The sequence below is a fragment of the Homo sapiens genome, chromosome 3 (assembly GCF_000001405.40).
Source record: "Homo sapiens chromosome 3, GRCh38.p14 Primary Assembly".
In the NCBI taxonomy this organism is placed as follows: domain Eukaryota; kingdom Metazoa; phylum Chordata; class Mammalia; order Primates; family Hominidae; genus Homo; species Homo sapiens.
The window spans coordinates 159,330,179-159,345,342 of NC_000003.12; the positions used below are offsets into that span (position 1 = coordinate 159,330,179).

At 37.1% G+C, this 15,164-nt stretch overlaps 2 protein-coding genes across 7 annotated transcripts in view, besides 1 other annotated feature; both read left to right on the forward strand.

The window, feature by feature from the left end:
- The window catches only part of IQCJ-SCHIP1 (IQCJ-SCHIP1 readthrough), an 828,041-nt gene that overhangs the window by 260,860 nt on the left and 552,017 nt on the right, over nucleotides 1–15,164 (forward strand). The window lies entirely within an intron of this gene.
- Nucleotides 1–15,164, forward strand: part of SCHIP1 (schwannomin interacting protein 1) — a 624,116-nt gene that overhangs the window by 56,935 nt on the left and 552,017 nt on the right. The window lies entirely within an intron of this gene.
- Nucleotides 10,863–11,431: an enhancer, noted in NCBI's record as "NANOG hESC enhancer chr3:159058830-159059398 (GRCh37/hg19 assembly coordinates)". NCBI's record gives its function as "activates a minimal SCP1, AML or CMV promoter by ChIP-STARR-seq in naive H9 embryonic stem cells {active_cell/tissue: H9 hESC(naive)}" and the evidence as "EXISTENCE:reporter gene assay evidence [ECO:0000049][PMID:30033119]".

Genomic DNA, 15,164 nt, shown 5'->3' on the forward strand with positions numbered 1-15,164 from the left:
TACAGTCATATACATTTTCTCTTGATTTTTAATGTAGACATCAAAGTATGTATAGATCAGTAATTCTTTTTTCTATTTCTATGTGTTCCTTAGAAATGTAATTGGAGAGATGGCATTGTGTAAGATTGCATACTAGTCTGGCAATTATTTGTCATGAGAAATGTATTAAGAATGATGGATAATTTTAAGGTCCATAAAAAATATGAGGCCTGTTGTAGTCCTAGAATTCCAGAGCTAAATTTTCTTCAAGTCAAATTAGTATTTTGTTTCTGTTTCTTCTTTTGGTGCAGTTGAGGTATCCTAATAAATATTCGGCTTAGAGCATTCCACTTAAAATTTTTAATCTTTGTAGATTTATAGTATTGCGATTCCACTGTCAAAATGACAGATACTGATATGTATTTTAAGGTAATCTTATATGATTATTTTTCAGTGCACTGTATCAGTCAATGCCCTGACAGGTCATAAAATGTTACAGCTCATAAAGAACCAGTATATACTCAATTTTCAAGGTACAGCAGAAGAACTATAAATTAAATTGATTACATAACTATAAAATAATTAGTCCAGTATTTCCAGACAACTTTTTAAAAGAACTTCCCTGCCACAGATCACTGTTTGAAAAGGAACTGGTCCCTATTAAGTCTGTCCAGTTTTGTACACTGTGCTTGAGTTTTTTTCTCTTTTACTTTACATCCCAGTAGCTCCCCTCTACTTCCTTCCTCAAGGTGAGCTCGTTCCCTCCTTGGGCTTCAACTAACTCCTATATGTAGGAGTTTCTAAATTTATATCTCCTCCCCAGACATCTCTTCCAATACATAGATTCAATGCTTCCATGCCTATTAGGTATGTCTTGGATGGGATTTCCCCACAAGCAGACCTTGAGACAAGGGTTTGAGTGCAAGTACTTAATTTGGGAAAGTGTCCCATAGGCCCTGGTAGGGGAGGGAAGATGTGATATGGGAATCAGGAGTTCGTCGTGAGGCAGATTTCCACTGGGGGGCCACTGAAGTTCAGTCCTGATGGGGAGCTCTGGGAGACAGGACACAAGACACCTTAGAATTAACCTCCCCCAGAGGGATCCTCCAGAGGGCTGGGGAGTGGGGTCATTGATCCTCCAGCTCCATCTGTCATTGCCTGAAGACTGCTTTTGCAGGTGTTAAATGGTCACTCTTTCCTTCGGATGTCCCTCCCACAAAAAGGAGCAAAAGCCTTCAGGTGGAAAGTTGCAGGTGTATGTACTGACAAGGTGAGGCCAAAGGGATATAGGTGAGGACAGGGCACTGCAGTGTCTGAGAGTGACACTTCCACCTGAGTGTACACAGATTCATCAAGCTCTGCATATCCAGCCCTAGCTCCCCAAACTTGTTTTTCCTCTACATCCTGGAGAATGCGCTACAGTGTACTCCTTGATCCAGGCAGGAACCCCTCTCCATCCCCCTACTTCCTCTCACGGATGAAATTCTATCAATTTCATCTCTTCAAAGATCCTTACTCTGTTCACTTTTTTCTCTCACCACACTGGAAATCCAGTATTTTCCCCACACTTTTCTGTATTAGCCTCTTGACTTTCTCTCTGCCTTGAGTCACACCAACCTATAATCTTTCCTATAGACAGAGTGAGGGTTCCAAACTGAAAATCTGACCATGTTCATTCTCTGCTTAAAGTCATTGATGATAGCACAGGGTACTGCATGTGAGGTCCTTCATGGTTTTATATCATCCCGTATCACTATTCCCACCTCACCATATACTGTGCATGCCACCCTGGGTCTTTGTGTAGGCTCCACCTGGTCCTGGCTCATCACCATAGCTCAGGTGTCACCTCCTGAGGGTGTCCTTTCCTGACTCCTCACCTTCCCCATCCCAAGCTGTGCAGCTGCCCCAAATGTGGCTTTGCTTGCTCACATTTCTTAGCATACCACAGTGTTATTGCCTCCTTCTTTGACTATCTCTTCAACTCAGCTGTTAAGTTCTCTGAAGGCAGTGACTCTATATTAATGTCAAATTTTTAGCACCTAGCACAATACCTGTTCATAATAGGTGCTCAATAAATATTTGCTGAACCAATTTGCCTATATAAGCCTCTGTAATCCTTAAAGCAGTCCTATAAGGTAGGTATTACTGGCTTTACAGGCAAAAATTTTGAGGTCAGGTAGGCCAAACATCTTGCTCAAGATCGCAGACCTAATAAATGATCAAATCAGGATTTGAACTCAAATCCGTCTCCCAAGTCCATATTCTTTCCATTAAATCATGTTAATTTTTACATTGTAATGCTCTAGATACTTCTTCTATTTCACTGTTTATGAAATTAAATGGCCTTAATCTTTTTATTTTTCTAGAAATAAATGTGTTCACAGGTGGCATCTAGAAATTCAATAAATATTCAGTCTCCAGGAATATGAGCCCTGCAAGGTTTGGTGTGGAGCCTGCTGAGAAGAGCCTATGACTTTCTAGTGGAATTTTTATGCTTTGGGTTAGATCATGGGAATGAATATCCATGGTTAGTTTGTGATGCATCTAAGCTGTGGAATTTCAATGAGTATCCATCAGTTTGACAGTCAAAAGGATATATATGAGGGCCTTGGGGGTGGGCAGGGTGAAGCAATTTGGAAATATAAGCAGTAAATTTTCACACATCACTGATTGTGACAGTGAAATGATTATCCATCAATTACAAAGCAGTTAAGTAGATATGTTTCTGGGTTTTTACTGCACTGTTTATGTATCCAGTTCTCCTGGAAGAGTTGCTCCTGCATCATAGTCCATGCTGGACAGCCTGCATCAGTTTCAGTGCCTGTTGGAGACACAGAGAGACTATTGGATTTAGGAACAAATAAAAGGCAAAAAAGAAGAGATGATACTGAAAGACTGTTACTTTTCAAATAAATCATGTACCTGGGAAATTATAAGGAAACAATTTCCCCAAATAAAACCATGTCAGTCTAACAAAAGGTTATTTTTTTAGTGTTGCATAACATAAAAGAAAATGCCAATTTACTTATATAAAAAAGTTATTAAGTTGTTTATAAATTCAAAGTTGCAAAGTACATTTCTTTACATCCATGTAAGTTCTGGGTCCATTGGATCCCTGATAAAAAATATAAGAATTGGAAAATTCAAATAAGAATTTAGGGGAAGAATAAATGACAAAATAAATGTGAGACACTTAGAGTAGTATCTGGGATATAGTAAATAGTCAATAAATGTTTGCTATGATTATTATTCACATTATTATAAGAAATACAATTGCTGAATGAGATCTTGTTCTTCTGTCATGCTGACATTAATCAGAGTTCAGCTATTAGCAATTTCACACACATACACAAACATACACACACACACACACTCCACTGACTCTTCCTATGAGGCTGAAATTAAAATTCGTGATTTATCAGATACAATACCATCCTCAACGAACACAGCAGATACAAATGACAAGTAGAATATAGCAAAGACTACTCCTACACATATGGGCCTTCTTACAATACTTGTTTCAGAGGTATTTGCTTGAAGTTATCCTTTAGTTTAAATCTTTGCATTAGTCTGATATCAACAAAATATCATAGGATCCTTTCTGTTAACCAGCTCTGTCGGTGGAAAAAAAATATTTCATATTAAATTGGAGACAGGAAGTACTAACAAACATTCATGTGATTTCTCAAATACACATTGGAATTTAGGAGGTGATTAATTAATCTTTAGTCCTAATGGGCTGGACCTGTAGTTCAAATATTTAATTCTAAGTTCTAAGAATGAACGATATCTCCCTGTTGAGCCAAAAAAGATAATTAGTAGAAAAGAAAGCAAGCAATAACACATACCTACCAGTTTTAAAACATATAGCTCAATATCTTAGTCAAATATATTGCCAAAGATCATGTTTTATGGGGAAAAGAAAAACAAAACAATATTACATACCCCTAAACTTGTAAAGCCACAAGAAAATATGTCATTAAAGAATCATCTTTATCATATGGAAATATTGCTTGATGATATCTGCTCATTCCAAATTGACCTGACAGATCATCTGAAAGTGTACGAAGAGGTTGTTGGCGAGACTGTCTGACCAGTTGATTTTGCATGTCAACTCATGACACAAGGGAGAGGCGATGAAGATAATCTATAGAGATTTTCTATAAGAGACAGTTATATATTTGGTTTGATATGCACATCATAGGCCTTCAAGCTTGCTCCCATATCAGTGCTGGAAAATCCTGCCCTTTAAGAAACAAACTGGTGATTTTTAAAAATTTAGATGCAGTATTACTATTATTATTTTGGTATACACATCTATGAGTTTTGACACATGCATAGATTCAGGTAACCACCACCACAACAGGTATATAGAACAATTCCATACACTCTCCAAAATTTCCTCATGCTGCCTCTTATAGTCAAATCATCCCCTAACCCCAATGCCTTCTATGAAAAGACATATAAATGAAATTATTCAGCATGTAACTTTTAGAGACTGGCTTGTTTCACTTAAAATAATGCTTTTGAGAGTCATTCACATTGTTGCATACACCAATTGTTTGTGCCTTTATATTGTCGTATTCCATCGTATGGTTGTACCATACAATTTCAATAGATTTGTTAATCTAGTCTCCAATTTAAGGGTATTTTAGTTGTTTCCAGCATTTAACTACAGATATAGACATTCATGTACAGGTTTTTATGTAGACATAAGTTTTCTTTTTCTTCTTCTTCTTCTTCTTTTTTTTTTTTAATTTTGAGACCGAGTATTGCTCTGTCACCCAGGCTGGAGTGTAGTGCTGCGATCTCAGCTCATGACAACTTCTGCCTCTGGGTTCAGGCAATTCTCCTGCCTCAGCCTTCTGAGTAGCTGGGATTACAGGTGTGTGCCACCACACCTGGCTAATTTTTATATTTTTAGTAGAGCCAGGGCTTCACCATGTTGGCCAGGCTGGTCTCGAACTCCTGACCTTAAGTGATCTGCCTGCCCTGGCCTCCCAAATGTTTTCATTTCTAAATAACTAAGTTATTTACCCTTGGGGCACTCTGAAAACTGCCAAACCATTTTCCAGAGTGATTGGACCATGTACTTCTACCAGCAGCATATGAGAGATCCAACTCTGCCACATCCCTGCACTTGGCATGACCAGTCTCTTTTAGTTTAGTCATTCTAATAGATGCCCTGTCTTTTTTTTATATACTTTAAGTTTTAGGGTACATGTGCACAATGCACAGGTTAGTTACATATGTATACATGTGCCATGTTGGTGTGCTGCACCCATTAACTCGTCATTTAACATTAGGTATACCTCCTAATGCTATCCCTCCCCACTCCCCCCCAGTCCACAACAGGCCCTGGTGTGGGATGTTCCCCTTCCTGTGTCCATGTGTTCTCATTGTTCAATTTCCACCTATGAGTAAGAACATGTGGTGATTGGTTTTTTATCCTTGCGATAGTTTGCTGAGAATGATGGTTTCCAGCTTCATCCATGTCCCTATAAAGGACATGAACTCATCATTTTTTATGGCTGCATAGTATTCCATGGTGTATATGTGCCACATTTTCTTAATCCAGTCTATCCTTGTTGGAAATTTGGGTTGGTTCCAAGTCTTTGCTATTGTGAATAGTGCCGCAATAAGCATACGTGTGCATGTGTCTTTATAGCAGCATGATTTATAGTCCTTTGGATATATACCCAGTAATGGGATGGCTGCGTCAAATGGTATTTCTAGTTCTAGATCCCTGAGGAATCGCCACACTGACTTCCACAATGGTTGAACTAGTTTACAGTCCCACCAACACTGTAAAAGTGTTTCTATTTCTCCACATGCTCTCCAGCACCTGTTGTTTCTTGACTTTTCAATGATCACCATTCTAAGTGGTGTGAGAAGGTATCTTATTGTGGTTTTGATTTGCATTTCTCTGATGGCCAGTGATGATGAGCATTTTTTCATGTGTCTTTTGGCTGCATAAATGTCTTCTTTTGAGAAGTGTCTGTTCATATCCTTCGCTCACTTTTTGATGGAGTTGTTTGTTTTTTTCTTGTAAATTTGTTTGAGTTCATTGTAGATTCTGGATATTAGCCCTTTGTCAGATGAGTAGATTGCAAAAATTTTCTCCCATTCTGTAGGTCGCCTGTTCACTCCGATGGTAGTTTCTTTTGCTGTGCAGAAGCTCTTTATTTTAATTAGATCCCATTTGTAAATTTTGGCTTTTGTTGCCATTTGTTTTGGTGTTTTAGTCATGAAGTCCTAGCCCATGCCTATGTCCTGAATGGTATTGCCTAGGTTTTCTTCTAGGGTTTTATGGTTTTAGGTCTAACATTTAAGTTTTTAATCCATCTTGAATTAATTTTTGTATAAGGTGTAAGGAAGGGATCCAGTTTCAGCTTTCTACATATGGCTAGCCAGTTTTCCCAGCTCCATTTATTAAATAGGGAATCATTTCCCCATTTCTTGTTTTTATCAGGTTTGTCAAAGATCAGATGGTTGTAGACGTGTGGTATTATTTCTGAGGGCTGTGTTCTTTTCCATTGGTCTATATCTCTGTTTTGGTACAGTACCGTGCTGTTTTGGTTACTGTAGCCTTGTAGTATAGTTTGAAGTCAGATAATGTGATGCCTCCAGCTTTGTTCTTTTGGCTTAGGATTGACTTGGCAATGCAGGCTCTTTTTTGATTCCATGTGAACTTTAAAGTAGTTTTTTCCAATTCTGTGAAGAAAGTCATTGGTAGCTTGATGGGGATGGCATTGAATCTATAAATTACCTTGGGCAGTATGGCCATTTTCACGATATTGATTCTTTATACCCATGAGCATGGAATGTTCTTCCATTTGTTTGTATCCTCTTTTATTTCATTGAGCAGATGCAAGGCTGGTTCAACATACGCAAATCAATAAACGTAATCCAGCATATAAACAGAACCAATGAAGAAAACCATGATTATCTCAACAGATGCAGAAAAGGCCTTTGACAAAATTCAACAACACTTCATACTAAAAACTCTCAATAAATTAGGTATTGATGGGATGTATCTCAAAATAATAAGAGCTATCTATGACAAACCCACAGCCAATATCATACTGAATGGGCAAAAACTGGAAGCATTCCCTTTGAAAACTGGCACAAGACAGGGATGCCCTCTCTCACCACTCCTATTCAACATAGTGTTGGAAGTTCTGGCCAGGGCAGTCAGGCAGGAGAAGGAAATAAAGCACATTCAATTAGGAAAAGAGGAGGTCAAATTGTCCTTGTTTGCAGATGACATGATTGTATATCCAGAAAACCCCATTGTCTCAGCCCAAAACTCCCTAAGCTGATAGGCAACTTCAGCAAAGTCTCAGGATACAAAATCAATGTGCAAAAATCCCAAGCATTCTTATACACCAATAACACACAAACAGAGCGCCAAATCACGAGTGAACTCCCATTCACAATTGCTTCAAAGAGAATAAAATACCTAGGAATCCAGCTTACAAGGGACATGATGTCCTGTCTTCTAATCATGTTTCTGTCCTCTGTACCATTAGGGACCACCAGTGGCAACTTTCCACCCAAATTGTTCCACCAAGAAATCTTTGAACATGTTCTCCAATTTATAATATTAGCCCTGTTTCAATCCAAAATAGTGTGTGGTGGCATGAGATACTCCTAAAGACTATCAAGCATTGTAAAATCATTATCTTCTTCGTCTGAAGACATCCAGAATATTTCTCATTGTTAGTAATTAAGCCCTGCTACTGTGTAAATGAGCTTTCATCTTTGTTTACCATGGGTCTGCCTGAAAAATGTCAAAGAACACTCAATAAAACTTTCCATGTCCTTCAATCTTAACTTCATTATGACTTGTGATGAAGTAAGAGCATGGTTCCTTCCTTTCTAGAAATCTTGCATTCAACAAATATTTGCTGAGTTCCCTTTGTGCCAGGAACTTTTCTAGATGCTGGGGATACGGCAGTGAACAAAGCAGACACAAATGCTTGCCTTTACAATCCTAAAAATTTGGGAGTGGATCAGGCAATAGAAAATACATAATTGAAATAGGTAATATTTCAAATGCAAAGTGTTATAAACAATAAAGCAGGGAAAGAGGTTACAACCTTAAATAGTGGGGACAAGGAAAGCTTCAGTGAGAAGGTGATGCTTGAGTAAAAGGTGATGTCAAACCCTGCAGAAACCTCTGTAATTGTGTTGCCGGCAGAGGAAACAAGTGTACAGGCTTTGATGTAGGACCGTCTACGTCATGAGTGAAGAGCGGTAAAGTGCCAGGGTGTCTGGTGGACAGAGTGAATAAGAACATGGTATAAGATGAGGTTATGACTATATTGTGTAGAACCTTATAAGCCACTTTAATGATTTTGGGTTTTGTTCTAGACGGGAAACCATTGGAAGGCCTTGAGAAGAGAAGTGATGTGATAGGACCTACTCTATCTTCTATGCAGTGCATAGACTTGGGGCCAAGGGTAGATTCAGAAAGACTAGTTTAGAGACTGTTATAGTAATCCAAGCAAGAGATAATAGTGGCTTGAATCAGGCTGGTACCCAGTGGAAACATGAATCCAGCCAAGCTGAAGGAATACCTTTTATGTGAACATTCTGATAATATATTGGATGCTATGGTTTTTAAGACATTTTCCACATGCTGGAATATTACCAATGTTTGGATCTCACCAAATACAAAAGGCTGTGCTTGAGGAATCTGTATCATCCATGCTGAAATTCTAAGTGAAAGAAGCTATGTCACTAATATAATCTTGAATTCACATACACTGGAAAATGTGACATCTATAGCTTATAACTGAGGAAGAAACCTAAAATGTGGTGCCTCAAGCAGATGACACAATCCATCACCATTAATGAGGACATTTCTCCTAACATTTTGTAGCCAATAATGTAAATATTCATAGGTTCCATGGCCATTTACAGCAGACTGATGAAACAACCAAATGAAGCCATCTCCAGGTTTTCATCTGTTTTGTGCATGGCTATTCCATCAAAGAATTACTATATTATGAGCCCCTTTCAGAAACTACAAAGGCCTTTGACATGTTCAAATGATGAAAATTGTCTTTGCCAAGCATAACATCATTAGAATTAAAAAAAAAAAAAAAAACCTTGGTGTTCTTTACTCAAATGGCAGCACTGTGATGCTTGGTCACACATCTGATTTTTGCTATTTTGGTAAATAAAGAAACTCCTTGTTTTCACATCAGCAAGCACTGCTGTTAGTCCCTGTCAGCAGGCTTGAAAGAAATATTGTCCAAGGTCAGAAGCATCACCTTCTCTTCAGAACCACTTTTATAAGAAGTTTCATTAAGAAGTGGGAACAGAATGTGAAGTTTTTCTCCTTACATAGAAGATCTCTGATTTTCTACCAAACTTCTTGAAACATGAAACTGCATTTCAGGCAGCAGCTTCAGTTAAGAAAAAAGTTCCCTTGGGTAATAGTTTGATAGATGTGCCTTCATGCATTGACTTATTTAACAGATGTTTTAAGTCCATGGTATTCAAAATTAGGGTATACAACAATTTTTCAAGGAGTGTGAGGGCACGTTGGAATTTAATAGATAAAACTTCTTAAAATTTCAGCTTCCTGTTAAACTTTTCTCTAGAAGTAATCTGCCTGAGAGTGTATTTCAGATTATTTCTCCTTTTTCACTTATTCTTTCATTACTGCTTTTGTCCACTGAAAAGAAGATATAGCTCTCATCCACTCAAAATTTAATGTGTTGCATTTCCCAAGGTGCAAAACGTCTAAGATATAAAATACAATGATGATTTTGAGAAAGGTAGTAATTCTAATAACCAGGAATTATTAGAATTATTAGAATAATTCTAATAACCAGGAATTATTTTACAAGTCAGTTTTCAATTATTAGTTTTTAATAAAGTTGAAGAGGACCTAATCAACTCTCAGTTGCTAGATCATTAAATATACTGTTTGATGACAGACAATGACTTTAAGAGGATAACTAGGAAGGATTTTAGAGACTTGAGCAACATTACTACTGTTCAATCTCATCTACATATGTATATAAATAAGTTTTCTAGGGCTTATTAAAATTGGTAAATAAGAATAGAATAGATGGAAAACCCTCTCTCATTTTAAGAGGTAATACTCATTCAAAGATAGATGAACTAACAGAAAAATGATGTGATTTTTCTCATTAAATGATGCAATTCCAATAAAAATAATTTTATCTCTAATAATTATCAAAATTCAATTTATATTGTTTCAAGAATCAATTTTATATACTACATATAATTATGATTATTAAAACTAGAGGAAATTTTAAATACTGAAAGTTTATAGCCATAAGAAATAAATTCTAAAAATGCATTCACATTTTATGTAGAGAAATAAAATTGAGTAATCAATAAAAGACTTTTATGCATAAAAATTACAATAAATTCAGATAGAATTCTATAAAGTAAAATGTCAAGTTTCTCATCTGTTCACTCATATGTCCACCTTTATTCTAAATCTTTCAGCATTTTTATCAGTTATTTTCACCTCTCTCTTGGAAAACTCCAGCCTCCAGGCCATCCTGGAGTCTGTTTCTATTGACTGTTTCCTCTCTTGGCATGAGTCACATTTTTTTGCTTTTCTGTGTGCATTATAATTTGGGGGGGCGCAGAGAATGTTTTGTGTAAGAGATCAGTAGAAACTGAAGAAAATAAAATTTCTTCCAAAAAGTAAAACATTCCTTTTTCTAGAGTAGGAACCTAGGCAATTTGAACCATATTTGAATACTCAGGGCTTTTTTGCACTGGTGGTTTTACTTGGTTCACCACTGTTTTCAAATATTTTGAGGATATGATCAACTTCTCTTTCAACAGAGCCTGGTATCAGAGCATTGGAAAGATTCCAGAGACTTTCCTGAGTTTTAGAGTTCAGCTGCCAAATTTTGGAACTGTGGGTGATATCTGCCTGCTTACGGCCCAGCTGGCATGATTTTGAGTCCCTGGAGTGTTTTCTTTGCTATCTCACCCTCCCCTTGCTTTCTGCACTTGGGGAGACATCTTTAAGCCTAATGGTCCCTTTCCTAGCTTTTGAAGTGCTGCCGCCTTACTGCCCTATGCTCTCTGAAGACCTGGAATGTCCTGGAAGGGTTTCTCTTAGCAGTTGAAAGCTTAGAGTGCCTCTCTCAACTCCCCTGCTGTGTGCCCCGCCAACACTCCTCACCTTTTGAAGGGGATTTGACTTTGGGCAAATACCTTAAAGAAAAACTCTTTCTCAGCTTTTCTTGTCTGGTCCCCTTACTTTGGGCAAATTACCCCTCATACTGTGACCTACTTAAGACCTGTGAGTGAAAGTTGGCAGGTAGATGCATGGTCACAGGGTCATGGGATTCCTGAGGGTACCATCCATCAAGCCAGCTCACACAGGGCTGTTCAGTAGTTGTTAAGTGTTGGGCTAGCTTCTTTCTACCCCCATCTGTGGGAGGAGCCATAGGTCTTTCCTCTTCCCTGAAGGGTTTGCCACTTTCTCGAGCTTCGTTTACCTAGACATCTTTATAACTGATCTGGCTTTTTGTAGCCTATTTTATTATCTATTTATTTATTTAAACTTTTTGCTTGTTAGGGTGGGAGTGATGATCTTTTGCTACTTTCTGTATCTAAACCAAAAGTCCTGTTCAAATATGTATTAAAACTGATGATTGTGGTTATCAAATCATTTGGCATTTAGATTCCATTAGTTTCACCTAAAAATGACATTTTGATTTGATTTTAAAATATTTATATAAACACTATGTCAAGAATTATATCCTTCAGAACTGTTTAAGCTTATGATGAAAAATTTTAGATGTCAACTTAAAAATATGTAAGGGAATATATATAGTTCTTCATTATTCTATTGGGAGTACATGAGTGAACTCAGGAATAATAGCAAAGGTAATCTTTTTATTCTTTCTTGATTAGGGCAGTGTGGGTGACTGGCTTTGCTTTGCTTCACACTGTGGGTCTTCTGGGCTCAGTTCCAATCCCCTTTCTGCAGCCTGGAGTGGAACAGAGGGTTCAAGACCTTGTCAGCTTCTCACTAGACAGAAATTTCAGGCATTTTGACTAATCTAGAACTCTTTTAAAGAACAGATCTTAGAAGCTAACACGTTAATTTTGTAATTTTCATCTTAAAGATGTATAATTTTAAATATCCCTGATTTAGATAAAGCTAAGTTTCAATTTCTAACTCAAATATAATCCATTTTAGAATTCAGAATTGCTCCTGGAAAAAAGAAATTGTTACAGCAAATTTTGCTTTACTAAGTCAGCAGTGTGAAATATTCTGATCCAAAATAAACACTGTCTGACATATAGTGCAGGAAATATCTTTACATTTTTAGTATATCACCTATAATACAATATTTACTCAATTTTCTTTTTTTAAAACCAAAGTTTTCATTACATAACATTTAATGCAACCAGATTTTAAAGGTTATAGAACCGCTTTTTATTACTCAGACAAAGAAGAAAGGTAACAACTTTTAGAAAGATTGTTGACTTTGCCATTTGATAATGAACAGCAATTTAGCAGAATTATTTGCAAGTAAATTTTGGCTATATTGTTTATTTTATTTTAGAATGCTTCACATGGTGCCAAATGACTAGACAGTCCACAGTAGAAAAAGTTATTACTTCTTTTAGTCTTTATTAATTCAAGACATAATTATTTGGGATGAAAATAGAATAAAATTTTTCTTTTTTTAATACCCATTGTTTATAATGTAAATTAGTTATGTAACCATAATTAATGGAGAACTAAAAACTAACTTAAATGAAATAGTTTTTAATCCTCAAAACACTTTGGAGGTAACCAGACAAACAATTACAATGCTCAACTATAAATGTCTTGTTTTTTTTCAGTAAAGCAATTTATTCTGTGCCAACCGCTGTGCCAGGCCCTTTACAAGATCACTCTTATTTCACCCTCATAATACGCTATGAAATAAGCTTCCTTTTATCTACATTCTGGAGATGAGAAGGCTGAGTTTAGAGGGGTCAGGCAACTTGTCTAAGACATAACTAGTAAGTTGCATAGCAAGGGTTTAAACTCAGACCTAATTTCAATATACTTAACCATACTCCTTCTCCAGTGTATTTTATGTATTGAGTAGTCACATTCTAAGACACCTAGTATTAAATGTTGTTCTTGACATACATACATTTTAATTAGTTATTTCTGCAAAGTCATAAAACACTCCAAACTCAATGCTTTCAACAATCAGCATCTATTTTTCTTGATCGTAGGAGTGTAGGAAAGCCAGGGAGACCCTGTTTCAAGTTGCTGGTCAGCTGGGCTTGGCTTCAGGCTTAGAACTGGGTTCACATCTGCTCTATGTGTCACCATGTTCTTCTTGGGCCAGCATCTCCCTAAGGCATGTTCTTTTGATGGCAAATCACAAGAGGGCAAGCAGACAATCCAAACCATGCAGCCTTGCCTAATATTTCTTGTATCACAGTCCATTAACCAAAGGAAATCACAGGACCAAGTCCCAAGTCACTGGAGCAGGGAAGTATATGTCATCTGGAAGAGAAAGAAGGGAGAATGAAGAAAGTATTTCTAACACAAATTCAATCTATCACATATTACTTGGACAATGCTATAGATTGAATGTTTTCCTTTGTTATCAATATTGCACATGCTTAATCTGCACGTCAGTGTGTATATATATCTCAGATCTATACAGAATATAAACAGAGGCATATTATAAATTATCAAGTAGTGTTTCTGTTTTTATGGATAATATTTGAATGTTGATAGTAATTTTTAAATTAAAAAATGGGTTTCTATTATTTGGAGGAATAACTCTAATAAGGCTTAAAATTATTTTAAAACAAGATAGGTTACTTAGTAACAAACATACACAAATATAAAAATTAAATTGTATTGGCTAGGCGCAGTGGCTCATGCCTGTAATCCAGGCACTTTGGGAGGCTGGGGCGGGCAGATCACCTGAGGTCAGGAGTTCGAGACCAGCCTGACCAACATGTCTCTACTAAAAGTACAAAATTAGCCAGGCATGATGGCGCATGCTTGTAATCCCAGCTACTCAGAAGGCTGAGGCAGGAGAATCGCTTGAACCCAGGGGGCGGAGGTTGCGGTGAGCCGAGATCGTGATATTGCACTCCAGCCAGGGCGACAATAGGGAAACTCCATCTCAAAAAAAAAAAAAAAAATTAAGTTGTATCTTGGTTTCTAATACCATTCCCCAGTAAAGGAGAAAAGTATGAAAACAGTGGAGAAACCTGACAAACACTACCTCAACTAGTTCATCAAAGTTAATATAAACAGCAATGAGTCATATTGGGGGTATTTACTCTTAACATGATGAACAAAGTGGCACTTCATGTCTGTTGATCTTTCTCCCCAAACACACAATCCCAGTCTAATCATGAGATAAACATCAGACACATCCCAGTTGAGAGACATTTGACAAAATACCTGACTAGTACTTTTCAAAACTGTCAAGGTCCTCAATAGCAAGGAAAGTCTAATAAACTGTCACAGTCAAGAGGAGCCTAAATAAACATGGTAACTAAATGTAAACTGGTATCTTGGATAGAATTCTGGAATAGAAAAAGTTCATTAACTAAAAGCTAAGAAAGTCTGAATGAAGTATGTACTATAGCTAATAGGAATGTGTCCTTACTGGTTTATAAATTGTGACAAACGTATCATACTAATATTAAGATGTTAACAGTAGGGAAATTGGGTATGGGAGTTATGGGAACTCTGTACTGTCTTCACAATTTTCTGTAAATATAGAACTATTCTAAAATAAAAGTTTTACTTAAGAAAAATGTTGGCTGGGCACGGTGGCACACGCCTGTAATCCCAGCACTTTGGGAGGCTGAGGCGCATTCAAGACCAGCCTGGCCAAGATGGTGAAACCCCATCTCTACTAAAAATTCAAAAATTAGCTGGGCGTGGTGGTGGGTGCCTGTAATCCCAGCTACTGGGGAGGCTGAGGCAGAGAATTGCTTGAACTCGGGAGGGAGAGGTTGCAGTGAGCCAAGATCGTGACACTGCACTCCAGCCTGGGTGACAGAGCAAGACTCTGTCTCAAAAAAAAAAAAAAAAGAAAAATGCTAAATCGCAGTGACATAAAGAAATTAAAAGCCAAAGCCAAATACTAGAAAAAAAAATTTTTAAGAAAGAAAATTGCATTGATACTAAATAT